Below are 13,555 nucleotides of genomic sequence, written 5' to 3' on the forward strand. Positions count from 1 at the left end.
CAGCACTGTGGGATTACACAGGTAGATCACTTGGGGTCAAGAGGTGGACACCAGCCAGCCAACATGGTGAAACCACATGTCTACTAAAAATACAAAACTGATCCGGGCATCTACTTGGGAAGCTCAGGCAGGAGAATCACTTGAACCCAGGAGGCAGAGGTTGCAGTGAGCCAAGACTGTGCCACTGCACTCCAGCCTGGGTGACAAAAGGAGACTTCATCTCAAAAAAAAGGAAACTCAAAAGATTGCAACCGTTTGTGCCACATTTCTCTGTGACCTGGAAGCCCACTCCGTGCTTCAAGTCTTCCTGCCTTTGTTTAAAGTTCTCCCACCTTCCCAGACCAAATCAATGTACTTCTTACATATATTGATTGATGTCTCATGTCTCCATAAAATGTATAAAATTAAACTCTGCGCCGACCACCCTGGGCAAAATAAACTTTCTAAATTAACTGAGATCTCTGTAAGATTTTCTGGTTTCACAGCTGCAGTGTCAAATGAGGGCTGTGGGAGATCACAAAGGAAACCCGGAGAAGATGATATCAGAACAAGGACCTAGGAAAGAAAGGCTGCTTGTCACTTGCAGCTGAGGGGAAGAGAGTCCTAGAGAGAGGGACAGCTCAAGTGAGGGCCCTGAGACAGGAGCAACCTCAGCCCCAGGAAGAGGAAAGCGACCAGTGGGGCTGGAACAGTGGAAGAGAGGAGGGCACAGGTAGGAGATGAGGTCAGAGAGGTCCTGGGGGCACAGACCCATAGGAACATGTCTTCAAACATGTTTCTCCCACAACCTTAAAGAATTTTGAAAGTCGACTGTGATCCCAGCTACTCGGGAGTCTGAGGAAGGAGAATCCCTTGATCCCAGGAGTCAGAGGTTGCAGTGAGCTGATATCATGGCATTGCACTCCAGCCTCAGCCACAAGAGTGAAAATTCCTCTCAAAAAAACAAACAAACAAACAAAAATTGGAAGTGATGTATCTTCTCACTCTTTTCACGTATACATCTAAGTTTCTCTTTATATTATAAATTACAACACTTACAAATAAAGTAATTTATTTCACAAATTTAAAATACATGCTGTCAAGTTCGGCCGTTTCCGGAAGTACGTAGTCACCCTCATCTGAGATGTGCAGACTGCAAGGAAATGTGTTTGGGGGTTTAGAAAGCCACTCGTGGACACCTGAAGGTGGGGATGCCTGTTTGATGACCCAGGAGACAGCTGAGGAGACAACTGGACACAGGATTGTAGAGCTCAGGGGCGAGGCCTGCAGGGGACATGGAGTCATGTAGGTGGGTTAAAGCTGTGAGATGATAAGGTTCAAGGTGACTTGAGTCTAATTACCCCGTTTTTGTTCATCTTGTGCTTCTTTTTTTTTTTTTTTAATATTTGGAGAACTGGAATTCATTTAAAATTCGAGTTAAAACTGAGCACTACCCTCTCCCAGAAGAAAAGTCACACACTGTATTTTGTCAGTCATTTCAGGGGTCAGTGTCACTGACTGAGCTTTTCCGGTCTTATTCCTCACCTCTATGTTACAGGTGGGCTCACTGAGGCTCACAGTGGGAGACATTTCACCAAGTTATTCTGAGATGTTCTGAGGTGAGGAGGAAGGACGTGTGGCTGATTCCCATGTGATTGCCTGGAAGGCCCAATAGGCTGCCTTGGTCTTCCTCCTCTAGAAAATTCCAAGACCAGCCAGGATTGGTGGCTCACCCTTGTAATCCCAGCACTTTGGGTAGTTGAGGCAGGCCGATCACTGGAGCCGAGAAGTTTGAGACCAACATGGGCAACATATAAACCCCATCTCTACCAAAAATACAAAAAATTAGCCAGGCATCATGGCATGCATCTGCGGTCCCAGCTACCTGGGAGGCTGACGCAAGATCACTTGAGCCTGGGAGGCAGAGGTTGCAGTGATCCAAGATTGTTCCACTGCATTCCAGCCTAGGTGATAGGGTGACACTCTATCTTAAAAAAAAAAAAAACAGCGGTCAGGCAAGGTGGCTCACACCTGTAATCTCAACACTTTGGGAGGCCGAAGTGGGTGGATCACAAGGCCAGGAGCTCGAGACCAACCTGGCCAATATGGCAACATCCCATCTCTACTAAAAATACACAAATTAGCCAGGCGTAGGGGTGTATGCCTGTAATCCCAGCTATTCAGGATGCTGAGGCAGGAGAATCGCTTGACCCCGGGAGGCGGAGTTTGCAGTGAGACGAGATCGTGCCACTGCACTCCAGCCTGGGTGACAGAGAGTCTCAATAAATAAATATATATATCTAAACATTAGCCAGGCCTCGTGGGGCGTGCCTGTGGTCCCAGCTACTCCGGAGGCTGAGGTGGGAAAATCACTTGAGCCCAGGAGGTTGCCGCTGCACTGAGCTGTGATCCTGCCACTGCACTCCAGCCTGGACAGCAGTAAGAGTGTCTCAAAAAAATAAAAATTAAAGGCTGGACGCAGCAGCTCATGCCTGTAATCACAGCACCTTGGGAAGCTGAGGCGGGAGGATCACCTGAGGTCAGGAGTTCAAGACCAGCCTGACCAAGATGGAGAAACCCCGTTTCTACTGAAAATACAAAATTAGCCGGCCATGGTGGTGCGTGCCTGTAATCATAACTACTCAGGAGGCTGAGGCAGGAGAATCACTTGAACCCCAGAGGCGAAGTTTGTGATGAGCCAACATCACGCCATTGCACTTCAGCCTGGGCAACAAGAGCAAAACTGCATCCAAAAAAAAAAAACCGACAACAGCAAAAATAAGTAAATTTAAAGTAAAATTAAAAAATAACAACTAATGAGGCCCAGTGTGATGGCTCACGCCTGTAATCCCAACACTTCGGGAGGCCGAGGCGGGTGGATTACGAGGTCATGAATTCAAGACCAGCCTGGCCAAGATGGTGAAACCCTGTCTCTACTAAAAATACAAAAATCGACAGGACAGGTGTGGTGGCGGCTGGCTGTAATCCCAGCTGCTCGGGAGGCTGAGACAGAGCACTGCTTGAACCCGAGAGCCGGAGGTTGCAGTGAGTAAAGATCGCTCCACTGCACTCCAGCCTGCATGACAGAGAAAGACTCCATCTCAAAAATAAAAAATAAATAAATAAATAATCACACAAAAAACCAACTAAACTAATGAAGAGAGGAACTAGAAAAAAAAATTACAAAAAGAGAACAAAAGCACTTTTAATATTCCTTTCATCACGTTCCATATAGTAACAGAGACTCAGTCACTTCTTACTCTACTTCTCTCCCTCACTCCCCACCCCATCCATGAAAAGGGAAGAGGGTGATCCACAAGGAATGAGTCAAGTCACTGTCCTCTGGCTGAAGAGGGGTTGCAGAGGGAAGCTGCCTCTGACGCCATCATTATAAAATGCACCACACTTAGACACAGGAGTTTGGCAACTCTCATTCTCATCTGTATAATTTAAACTAATTTTAAATTTGTTACATTATAAACAGAGAAAACAACATGTCATCACTTCATCATCACATCCAATCAACTCACCACTCATCTGCACCCAGGGTCCCCCTTCGTCTTCATTACTTTTCCCCTCCATCATTCCTTTTTTTGTTTGTTTGTTTTGAGACCGAGTCTCGCTCTGTCGCCCAGGCTGGAGGGCAGTGGCGCGATCTCGGCTCACTGCAAGCTCCGCCTCCCGGGTTCATGTCATTCTCCTGCCTCAGCCTCCGGAGCAGCCGGGACTACAGGCGCCCGCCACCACGCCCGGCTAATTTTTAGTTTTCTTAGTAGAGACAGGGTTTCACCGTGTTAGCCAGGACGGTCTCAATCTCCTGACCTAGTGATCCGCCCGCCTCGGCCTCCCAAAGTGCTGGGATTACAAGCGTGAGCCACTGCACCTGGCCTCCCTTCGGCATTCTATACATAGCTCTTTCTCACCTTCTCTCTCCATCTGTTTCTTTTCTGCATTTCCCCCTGGACTTCTGCTCATTTTATGCCCCTCTCCTGTTTTGCTCCATTCTTTTTTGTTTTTTGTTTGTTTGTTTGTTTTTTAGACGGAGTTTCGCTCTTGTTGCCCACGCTGAAGTCCAATGGTGCGATCTCAGCTCACCACAACCTCTGCCTCCCGGGTTCAAGTGATTCTTCTGCCTCAGCCTCCTAATCCAAAATTAGCAGGGCGTGGTGGCGCATGCCAGTAATCCCAGCTACTCGGGGGAAGTATCACAAGAGAATCGCTTCAACCCTAAAGGCAGAGATAGTCATTAGCCAAGATCGTGCCAGTGCACTCCAGCTTGGGCAAAAAGAGCAAAACTCCACCTCAAAAAAAAATAATAATAATAATTAGTAGGTAGGCCCGGCATGGCGGCTCATCCCTGTAATCCCAGTACTTTGCAAGGCCAAGACAGGAGGAAACTTTGAGCCCAGGATCTTGAGACCAGCCTGGGAAACATACTGAAACCCTGTTTCTACAAAAAAACAAACAAACAAAGAAAAAAAACAACTAGCTGGGCTTGGTGTCTCACACCTGTGGTCTCAGCTACTAGAGAGACTGAGGGAGGAGGATCGCTTGAGCCTAGGAGGTCGAGGCTGCAGTTAGAGTAGAGAACGCTATTGTAATCCAGCCTGGGTGACAGAGCCAGACCCTGTCTCAAAATATAAACTAATTAATAAATTAAAAGTATTATGTAATAAGAGAAAGTGATTTTTTTTCCCCCACATCACTGTCCCACTTCCTACCCCACCCTGGGAAAAGGGAAGAGACTGACTCACAACTGAATAACTGGGATTCCAAGTAGAAGCTAACCTCTGATACCAAAATTTATAGAATGTACATGTCTCATAGACAGGAGTTTTAAAATTCTAAATCTCATCTGTATAATTTAAACAAGGTATTAGATGATATACACAGAAGTCAACATGTCACAACTAATCATATCCAATGAACTCACCCACTTATCTGTACCCAAAGTCCCCCACCCTTTTTTTCTTTTGAGACAGGGTCTTGCTCTTTTGACCAGGCTGGAGTACAGTGGCATGATCTCTGCTCACAGCAGCCTGGAGCTCCTGGGCTCAAGTGATCCTCCTGCTTCGGCCTAGAGAAGCTGAAACTGCAGGTGCACACTATCACACCCGGTTAAATTTTTTTTTTCCTTTTTTGACAGAGATGGGGGGAGCCTCACTATTTTGCCCAGGCTGGTCTTGAACTCCTAGACTCAAGCAATCCCTTTGCCTCAGTCTCCTAAAGTGCTGAGATTACAGGCATGAGCCACTGCGCCCAGCCCCTCTTTCTTCATTACTGTGCTTCCCTCCCTAATTCTGTGCATATCTCTCATTCTCCCCTTCTCTCTCTAGCTCTTGTTTTCTTTTCTTTTTCCCTGGGATTGTGCTCCTCATTTTGTACCCCTCTCCTCTCCTGCTGTTTATCCCCTTCTTCCCTCTATTACTTCTCTTCCACCTCTTCTGCTCCATTCTCACAGCTTATTTAACCTCTTTTTTTTTTTTCCTTTTTGAGATGGAGTTTCACTCTTGTTGTGCAGGCTGGAGTGCACCGGTGCGATCTTGGCTCTCACCGCAACCTCTGCCTCCCAGGTTCAAAGGTTTCTCCTGCCTCAGCCTCCCTAGTAGCTGGGATTACAGGCATGTGCAACCGCTCCCAGCTAATTTTATATTTTTAATAGAGACGGGGTTTCTCCCTGTTGATCAGGCTGGTCTCGAACTCCGGACCTCAGGTGATCCACCCGCCTCAGCCTCCCAAAATGCTGGGATTACAGGCATGACCCACAGCGCCCGGTCCTTATTTAACCTCTTGTTGTTCTTTCTCCCCAATCTTTCAATCTTCCTCAATGTCTATATATTACAGCCTCTTCTCTTATCTCTCCGTCTCCTCTGCTCTCCCTATTAAATTCTCTCTTCCCTGTTATACCCCTCTGTCCCCACTCTCCAGCACCTCAGATCCCCAGGTGTCCTCCCTGCTGTGGTTCTCCATCTGTTCTTGCCACCAGCACCACTCTGCTCTGTCTGCCCTGGCTCCAAATCCCTCCTCCTCTCCCTCACTCTGGTGAGCCTCCCTCTTTGCTGCCCCTCTCCCTACCTTGCTGTCCTTCATCTTTCTGTACATCTAGCTTTTCTCTACATTTCTCCAGTTGCTTTTCTCCTCCTGCTTTCTTAGTTTTTTTTCTTTCACTTTTGCTGTCTCTTGGCAAATTCCTAACCCATCCTCTACTTTGCCATCTGTTATGGGCCTTTCTCATTCTTCTTTTCTCTGTCTCTGGTTTTCTACTGCTCTCTCAGTCCCTCTCTCTATCTCCTGATCCCTTTGGCCCAGGCGGGTTTGGAGTAATCACAGGCGGGTTTGGAGTAAGACGCCTGCATCCCGTAGAAGCGCATTTTCCAGGGGGTGGAGCTGGACAGGAAAGAACACCTGGTATCATAGGACAAGCCCCTGCGACCCACCCCAACCCTGGCTCAGGGGAAGCGAAGACTTGGGGAGCAGCAGGGCCCGGCACCAGGAGGGACGTGGTGGGCGACGGCACCCTAAGACAAAGGTGGGACCTGCAGGATCCCAGGACCAGGCAGAGGACGCAGCCTCCCCGGGGCTGGGGCCGGGGCGCCGCGCTCCAGGTGCCAACTGGGGCGAGGCTGGGAGGCGCCCAGGGCTGGAATCCACCTCGCGGGTGAGGACTTTAAAAAGCACGGGGCGGGAATAGTCAGAAAAATGTTTTGAGCAGGAAAAATACGCGATAGGAAGTGTATACATTGCCCTATAGCAGAAAGACCGGGGACGGGACCAGCCTCCGAGCGACTTCAAACCCAAAAGCAAGCAACTTCCAGACTCTTACCGGGACGTCTCAATTTGCTCTGGGTGAAGGGAAGACAGGCGAGAATTTCCAGGTCCGTGGGGATCCCACGTCCCAGGGGCAGAAGCGCCGGGGACCTGGGAAGTGCAGACTTAATCCAAGGCAGAGCAAAACTCACGCGCCGTGGTAGGACCTTCACTCCACGCGATCCGCTTCCGGGTTTGTGCGCGCCCAGGACTGAAGCCAGGCCGGGGCAGGTTGGCTGGACCTGGGCGGGGTAGAGGCGGGGCCCCAGGCGGAGAGACCTTGCCCTTTAGAACCGGCAGAGGGAGGGCCCGGGGCGGGACCTGTGCTTCTCAGCCTCGCACTCAGCGCCTCTGTTTTTCGAGTTTTTGGAGGCGACAGCGGCCAGGAAGGCTGAGGCATGATTCAAAAGCCCTGGAATTATCTGGAACGGGAATGCAAACTAGAATGTGAAATGCAAAGCCCTGCCAGGGCGGAACATACGATTTCATGCTGATGGCCCACAGAACAGAACAGAAATCCTCTCCCTTTCTATTCTCCATTCACTCAGGAGGGAGGGTCCACCCCGTGCTCAGCTTCAAAGTGTTCCCTAGGGCCTCCGCCTGGGATGCGGGACGGAGAGCTCAGGCCAGGGAGGAGTGAGGTCACCACCTGCTGCCTAAACACAGCAGGGATGCGGGCACGAGGCGGAAGCCTGAGGTCCCAGCTACTCAGGAAGCAGCGGCGGGAGAATCCCTGAACCTGGGGGTCCAGGCCATCCTGGGCGACAAAGTAACACCCCCTAACTGCAGGGTCCTCTTCCTGATCTCTCTCTCGCTCTTTTACTTTTTTTTTTTTTTTTTTTTTTTGAGACGGAGTCTCGCTGTGTCGCCCAGGCTGGAGTGCAGTGGCACGATTTTGGCTCACTGCAAGCTCCGCCTCCCGGGTTCACGCCCTTCTCCTGCCTCAGCCTTTCGAGTAACTGGAACTACAGGAGCCCGCCTAACCCAAACAAAAACAAGACCGGGCGCGCTGGCTCACACCTGTAATCTCAGCACTTTGGGAGGCTGAGGCGGGCAGATCATGAGGTCAGGAGATCGAGACCATCCTGGCTAACACAGTGAAACCCCATCTCTACTAAAAAATACAAAAAAATTAGCCAAGCGTGGTGGTGGGTGCCTGTAATCCCAGCTACTAGGGAGGCTGAGACAGGAGAATGGAGTGAACCCGGGAGGCGGAGCGTGCAGTGAGCCAAGATCGTGCCACTGCACTCCAGCCTGGGCGACAGAGCGAGGCTACGTCTCAAAAAAAAAAAAGAAAAAGAAAAAGAAAAAGAAATATCTCCCCTAGTTTGTCTCCTTTTCCAGAATTTACCAGATACCAGTACACAGATACCAGTGCATACATTAATGTATGACTTTCATACATAGATTCTCTGATCTGATCCACAAAGAGCTAAATGTGCATCCAGATGTGGCCCCTGAACAATCCCTGCTGCCCAATATCACTGACACCTTGGGGTCCACACCCCATCTCCATCCATCTCTGGTGTGAGCCCTTCCCAGGACCATGCCCAGTGCAGCCTCTTCCCAAGCTCATGTCACTAGGTTATAGAAGATGGAATTTAAGTGAAGATGACAAGGACTGAGAAAAGGCATGGGTTAGTGTGAGCAAACGTGTGAGGCAGGATGCTTCAGACTCACAGAAGACTGGCTACTACAATACCTGGCATTTCAGAAAGGAAAGAGACAGAAGAATCCACCGAGGAATATTACTCCACCTGAGGAAGAGCCATCCCTGGCTCCTTTTCTTTGCTCCTCTTGGTGTCTTCCTCACGTAACATGAGTCTTTGGAAAATCAATCCTGTATGTAAAAAAAAATACGAGATTTAATTTTTAGAAATCACTCCCTCCTTTCCTGTGACAAAACACACACACAGGGGAGACCTCACCAGGGATAAAGATGGTTCTCTGCTGCCCACTGCACCAGAGATTATGTGGAGATAAGAAGGTGCCACAGGAAGACCTACAAGGGCAATTTTGACCTGTTTTGAGGTCTTGCTCCCTCCTGCAAAAGTCCACACACACGCTGCAGCAGGACACAGATCTTCAGGGCACAGATCTGGCCCTAACCAAACCCCATGCAGAGCACAGCCCCCTCACCTCCCTGTGGATCACAGGCTGATCTCAGCTCTCAACATGGAGGAAACTGCCTTGATGTTCAATGCTGGAGACAGATGAGAATCACCTGCACCATTGTAGGTATTATTGAGGGTGGGTCCCATACTGTGATAATAGCAATCTCTGATAAAACAGCATAGAAGCTATATTTGCAAAATGCCTGAAAACCCTAATGTGAAGCCAAGTTTGAGCTCCACTCAGGGCACCAGCCCCGCAGAGCCCCACCTTCTGGCTCTGCTCTCCGCTTGGGGACTTGTTCCCACCAGGATCCAGTGAACAGCGAAGGAGCAAAAAGGATCACACAGAACAGGCAACATGGGCCAGAGATGGGGGTGAAGGTGGGGCTGTCATGTCAAATGGGGGACTGTGGGAGAACACAAAAGTTTTCATAGAAAAAGTGATGTCAGAACAAAGACTTAGGGAAGAAAGGCTGCTTGTCACTTGCAGCTGAGTGGCCAGAGAGTCCTAGGCAGAGGGACAGCCCAGGTGAAGGCCCTGAGAAAGGAGCAACCTGAGTCCCAGAAAAAGAAAAGAAGCCTGCATGGTTACAGTAGAGGTAGGGAGGAGGACAGAGGCAGGAGTTGATGTCACAGAGCTCCTGGGACTCAGATATCTAGGGATGAGGTCTTGAAACATTTTTCTCTCACATCTCAACTCAAAAGAATTTTGGAAATGTATTTTCTCACTCATTTTATGTATACATGTAACTTTCTCTTCTATACTTTGTCTCTGTGTCTCTTTCTTTTCAAAGTGTCTCGTTCCACCTGACGAGAAATGCCCACAGGTGTGGAGGGGCAACCCACCTCTTCACCAATGCAATCCATCCTGGGCAATGGAGCGAGACTCTATCACAAAAAAGTACAGAGTCCAGCCAGGGAGGCTGTCTCACACCTGGAATGCCAGCAATTTGGGAGGCCAACATGGGAGGATCCCTTGAGGCCAGGAGATCAAGGCTATGGTGAGGTATGATTGCAGCACTGTACTCCAGCCTGGACAACAAAATTAAAAAAAATATGAAAAATACGGCCGTACACTTTAATGAGCATTCGTGTGAAGAGACCACCAAACAGCCTTTGTTTGAGCAACATGGCTGTTTATTTCACCTGGGTGCAGGCGGGCTGAGTCCAAAAAGAGAGTCAGTGAAGGGAGATAGGGGTGGGGCCGTTTTATAAGATTTGGGTAGGTAAAGGAAAACTACAGTCAAAGGGGGTTTGTTCCCTGGTGGGTAGGAGTGGGGGTCACAAGGTGCTCAGTGGGGGAGCTTTTTGAGCCAGGATGAGCCAGGAGAAGGAATTTCACAAGGTAATGTCATCACTTAAGGCAAGGACCGGCCATTTACACTTCTTTTGTGGTGGAATGTCATCAGTTAAGGTGGGGCAGGGCATATTCACTTCTTTTGTGATTCTTTAGTTACTTCAGGCCATCTGGGCGTATACGTGCAAGTCACAGGGGATGCGATGGCCTGGCCTGGGCTCAGAGGCCTGACATACATGTGCCCCACGCCTTTAATTCCAGCACTTTAGGAGGCCAAGAAGGGCAGATCATGAGGTCAGGAGTTTGAGAACAGCCTGGCCAACATGGTGAAACCCTATCTCTACTAAAAATACAAAAATTTTGCAGGTGTGGTGGTGCACACCTTTAGCCCCAGCTACTTGGATGGCTGAGGCAGAAGAATCGCTTGAACCCAGGAGGCAGAGGTTGCAGTGAGTTGAGATCGCATCACTGCACTTCAGCTTGGGCAACAGAGCGAGACTCCATTTCAAAATAAATAAATAAATAAATAAAACAATTACCCACATGTGGTGACCCATGCCTATCTTTCAAGCTCTTTGGGAGTCTAAAGTCGGAATTACTTGAACCTAGGAGTTTCAGGCTGCTGTAAACTCTAAATTGTGCCTTTGTACTCTAAAACTAAGCCACAGAGCAACATTATCTCTCTCTCTCTCCTTTTTTTTTTTTTTTTTTTTTTGAGATGGAGTCTTGCTCTGTTGCCCAGCCTGGAGTGCAGTGGCACAATCTCGGCTTACTGTAACCTCGACTTCCCGGATTCAAGTGACTCTCCTGCCTCAGCCTCCTGAGTAGCTGAGATTACAGGCATGAGCCATCACTCCCAACTCATATTTTTAGTAGAGATGAGGTTTCACCATGTGGGACAGGCTGGTCTCAAACCCCTGGCCTCAAGTGATCCACCCACCTTGGACTCCCAAAATGCTGGGATTACAAGTGTGAGCCACCACACCCAGACCAACATGCTGTCTCTTTAAAAAAAAAAGTTTGAAGTCAGAGACATGTTGATCTACTAGTGTGACTTCAAATGCACTACCAAATCAGATACAAACTATCTCCCCTTATAGGTCTCCTTTTCCAGAATTTACCAGATATCTGTGCATATTAAAGTATATGTTTCATATGTGGTTTCTCTGATCTCATCCACAAAGAGCTGACATCCAGACATGGCCCCTGAACAATGCAGGCTGTGCAGCAGCACTGACACCACGGGGCCCACACCCCATGTCCATTGATGTCTGGGTGTGAGCCCTTCCCAGGACCATGCCCAGTGGAGCCTCTTCCCAAGTTCATGTCACTGGCTCACAGGAGATGGAATCTCAGAGCAGCTGAGAGGAACTGAGGGCAGGCATGGGTGAGTGCAAGTGAATGTGTCAGACAAGATGCTTCAGACTCAGAAAAGACTGGCTGCTACAATACCTGGCATTTCAGAAATGAAAGAGACAGATTAATCCAAAGAGGAATATCACTTCACCTGAGGAAGAGCCATGCCTGGCTCCTTTCCTTTCCTCTTCTGAGTGGCTTCCTCATGCAACATGAGTCCTTAGAAATCAATCCTGAATGTGAAAAAAAAAAGACTTCATGTCAGAAATGACTCACTCCCTTCCTGTGACAAAAACACACAAACAAGGGAGACGTCACCCTCTGGAAAGATGGTCCTTTGCTGCCCACTGCACCAGAGATCATGCAGAGATAAGAAAGTCCCACAGGAAGACCTACAAGTGTATGTTTGACCCTGGTCTTCAGATCTCGCCCCCCTCCTGGAGGAGCCTCCCCCACGAGGCAGCAGTGGGGAGCTGGGCTGGACTGATCTCCCCTTCAGGGCACAGACCCATCCCTGATCAAACCCCATCCAGAGGACAGCCCCTCACCTCTCTGTGGATCACAGGCTGAGCTCAGCCCTCAGAAATGGAGGACTCAGAGCTTCGATGCTCAATGCTGCACACAGATGACAAGCACCTGCGCCACTGCAGGTATTACTGAGGGTGGGTTCCATCCCGTCAGAATAAGAATCCCTGCTAAAGCGGCACAAAAGCTCTATTTGAAAAATGCCTCTAGACTCTAATGTGAAGCCAGGGTTGAGCTCCACTCAGAGGGCGTGAGCCCAGCACAGCCCCACGTTCAGGCTCTGCCCTCCCCTTGGGGCCTTCTTCTCACCAGGATCCAGACAGTGGATGGCAAAGGAGCAAAAATAATCACACAGAACAGGCAATGTGGACCAGAGGTAGGGTGAGCGTTGGGCTGTGTGAAAGGAAATAAATCTTTGAGCCCCAAATCACTAAGCAAAAAGGAAAAGTCAAGCTGGGAACTGCTTAGGGAACCAGACTCCCCTTCTATTCAAAGTCACCCCTCTGCTCCCTGACATAGATGCATGTCTGAGTGCCTCATCCAAAAGGCTAATCAGAAACTCAAAAGAAGGACCCAGCACAGTGGTTCATGCCTGTAATCCCAGCACTGTGGGAGGCTGATGCAGTGAGCTGAGATCGTGCCACTGCACTCCAGCCTGGGCGACAAAACGAGACTTCATCTCAAAAAATACAAAAAAGAAACTCAAAAGATTGCAACCATTTGTGCCTCATTTATCTATGACCTGGAAGCACCCTCGCTGCTTCAAGTCCTTCTGGCTTTGTTTAAAGTTGTCCCGCCTTTCCAGAACAAACCAATGTATGTGAGCCACCATGCCCGGCTCAATCCTCTTTTTATTTATTTATTTATTTATTTTATTTTTGAGACGGAGTTTCACTCTGTCGCCCAGGCTGGAGTGCAGTGTTAGGATCTCGGCTCACTGCAAGCTCCGCCTCCCAGCTTCATGCCATTCTCCTGCCTCAGCCTCCCGAGTAGCTGGGACTACAGGTGCCCACCGCCACGCCCAACTAATTTTTTTTTTGTATTGTTAGTAGAGACAGGGTTTCACCGTGTTTGCCAGGATGGTCTCGATCTCCTGACCTCGTGATCCACCCACCTCGGCCTCCCAAAGTGCTGGGATTACAGGCGTGAGCCACTGCACCTGGCCCGGCCCAATCCTCTTAAACACTTTAACGTCAATTAATGCTCGAACTCAATGTTAAATCAACTCATCCTCAGGTCAATGCTGAGTTGACTGTAATGTACGCCTTGATGGTTTGCTATACTCAGTGCATTTTGAACTATTACCTCAAAATGTACTTCTTACGTATACTGATTGATGTCTCACGTCTCCATGTAATGTATAAAATTAAGCTGTGCCCCGTCCACCTTGGGCACATGTCATCAGGACTTCCTGAGGCTGTGTCACAGATGCGTCCTCAACCTTCACAAAATACACTTTCTAAATTAACTGAGATCT

General features: G+C 48.9%; 1 protein-coding gene across 16 annotated transcripts in view, besides 7 other annotated features; it reads right to left on the minus strand.

Moving 5' to 3' along the window:
* Positions 1-13,555, minus strand: part of ZNF600 (zinc finger protein 600) — a 69,482-nt gene that overhangs the window by 15,629 nt on the left and 40,298 nt on the right. For 2 of the 16 annotated variants that reach the window (XM_047438299.1, XM_047438288.1), the window contains exons 1-2: positions 6,803-6,999; positions 1,525-1,672 (exon numbers count right to left, since the gene is read on the minus strand). The exons of 1 other annotated variant lie outside the window; for it this stretch is intronic. The gene's annotated coding sequence lies outside the window, so the exon portion shown is untranslated. Of the gene's footprint in view, positions 1-788; positions 1,264-1,524; positions 1,673-3,509; positions 4,207-6,802; positions 7,000-13,555 lie in introns of those variants that run through there. 13 more of the 16 variants (NM_198457.5, NM_001321867.3, XM_047438296.1 and 10 more) reach the window with 12 other exon arrangements.
* Positions 2,183-2,363: a silencer, noted in NCBI's record as "fragment chr19:53285228-53285408 (GRCh37/hg19 assembly coordinates)". NCBI's record gives its function as "represses an EF-1alpha promoter that drives an FKBP-Casp9 reporter gene in an ReSE screen in K562 erythroleukemia cells {active_cell/tissue: K562}" and the evidence as "EXISTENCE:reporter gene assay evidence [ECO:0000049][PMID:32094911]".
* Positions 4,084-4,260: a silencer, noted in NCBI's record as "fragment chr19:53287129-53287305 (GRCh37/hg19 assembly coordinates)". NCBI's record gives its function as "represses an EF-1alpha promoter that drives an FKBP-Casp9 reporter gene in an ReSE screen in phorbol 12-myristate 13-acetate-treated (for megakaryocytic differentiation) K562 erythroleukemia cells {active_cell/tissue: K562(+PMA)}" and the evidence as "EXISTENCE:reporter gene assay evidence [ECO:0000049][PMID:32094911]".
* Positions 5,959-6,817: an enhancer, noted in NCBI's record as "H3K27ac-H3K4me1 hESC enhancer chr19:53289004-53289862 (GRCh37/hg19 assembly coordinates)". NCBI's record gives its function as "activates a minimal SCP1, AML or CMV promoter by ChIP-STARR-seq in naive H9 embryonic stem cells {active_cell/tissue: H9 hESC(naive)}" and the evidence as "EXISTENCE:reporter gene assay evidence [ECO:0000049][PMID:30033119]".
* Positions 6,818-7,675: an enhancer, noted in NCBI's record as "H3K27ac-H3K4me1 hESC enhancer chr19:53289863-53290720 (GRCh37/hg19 assembly coordinates)". NCBI's record gives its function as "activates a minimal SCP1, AML or CMV promoter by ChIP-STARR-seq in naive H9 embryonic stem cells {active_cell/tissue: H9 hESC(naive)}" and the evidence as "EXISTENCE:reporter gene assay evidence [ECO:0000049][PMID:30033119]".
* Positions 7,008-7,157: a silencer, noted in NCBI's record as "silent region_10999". NCBI's record gives its function as "represses an Ori minimal core promoter by ATAC-STARR-seq in GM12878 lymphoblastoid cells {active_cell/tissue: GM12878}" and the evidence as "EXISTENCE:reporter gene assay evidence [ECO:0000049][PMID:35858748]".
* Positions 9,978-10,508: an enhancer, noted in NCBI's record as "OCT4-NANOG-H3K27ac hESC enhancer chr19:53293023-53293553 (GRCh37/hg19 assembly coordinates)". NCBI's record gives its function as "activates a minimal SCP1, AML or CMV promoter by ChIP-STARR-seq in naive H9 embryonic stem cells {active_cell/tissue: H9 hESC(naive)}" and the evidence as "EXISTENCE:reporter gene assay evidence [ECO:0000049][PMID:30033119]".
* Positions 11,040-11,569: an enhancer, noted in NCBI's record as "H3K27ac-H3K4me1 hESC enhancer chr19:53294085-53294614 (GRCh37/hg19 assembly coordinates)". NCBI's record gives its function as "activates a minimal SCP1, AML or CMV promoter by ChIP-STARR-seq in naive H9 embryonic stem cells {active_cell/tissue: H9 hESC(naive)}" and the evidence as "EXISTENCE:reporter gene assay evidence [ECO:0000049][PMID:30033119]".

Source organism: Homo sapiens, chromosome 19 (assembly GCF_000001405.40).
Source record: "Homo sapiens chromosome 19, GRCh38.p14 Primary Assembly".
NCBI classification, from domain to species: domain Eukaryota; kingdom Metazoa; phylum Chordata; class Mammalia; order Primates; family Hominidae; genus Homo; species Homo sapiens.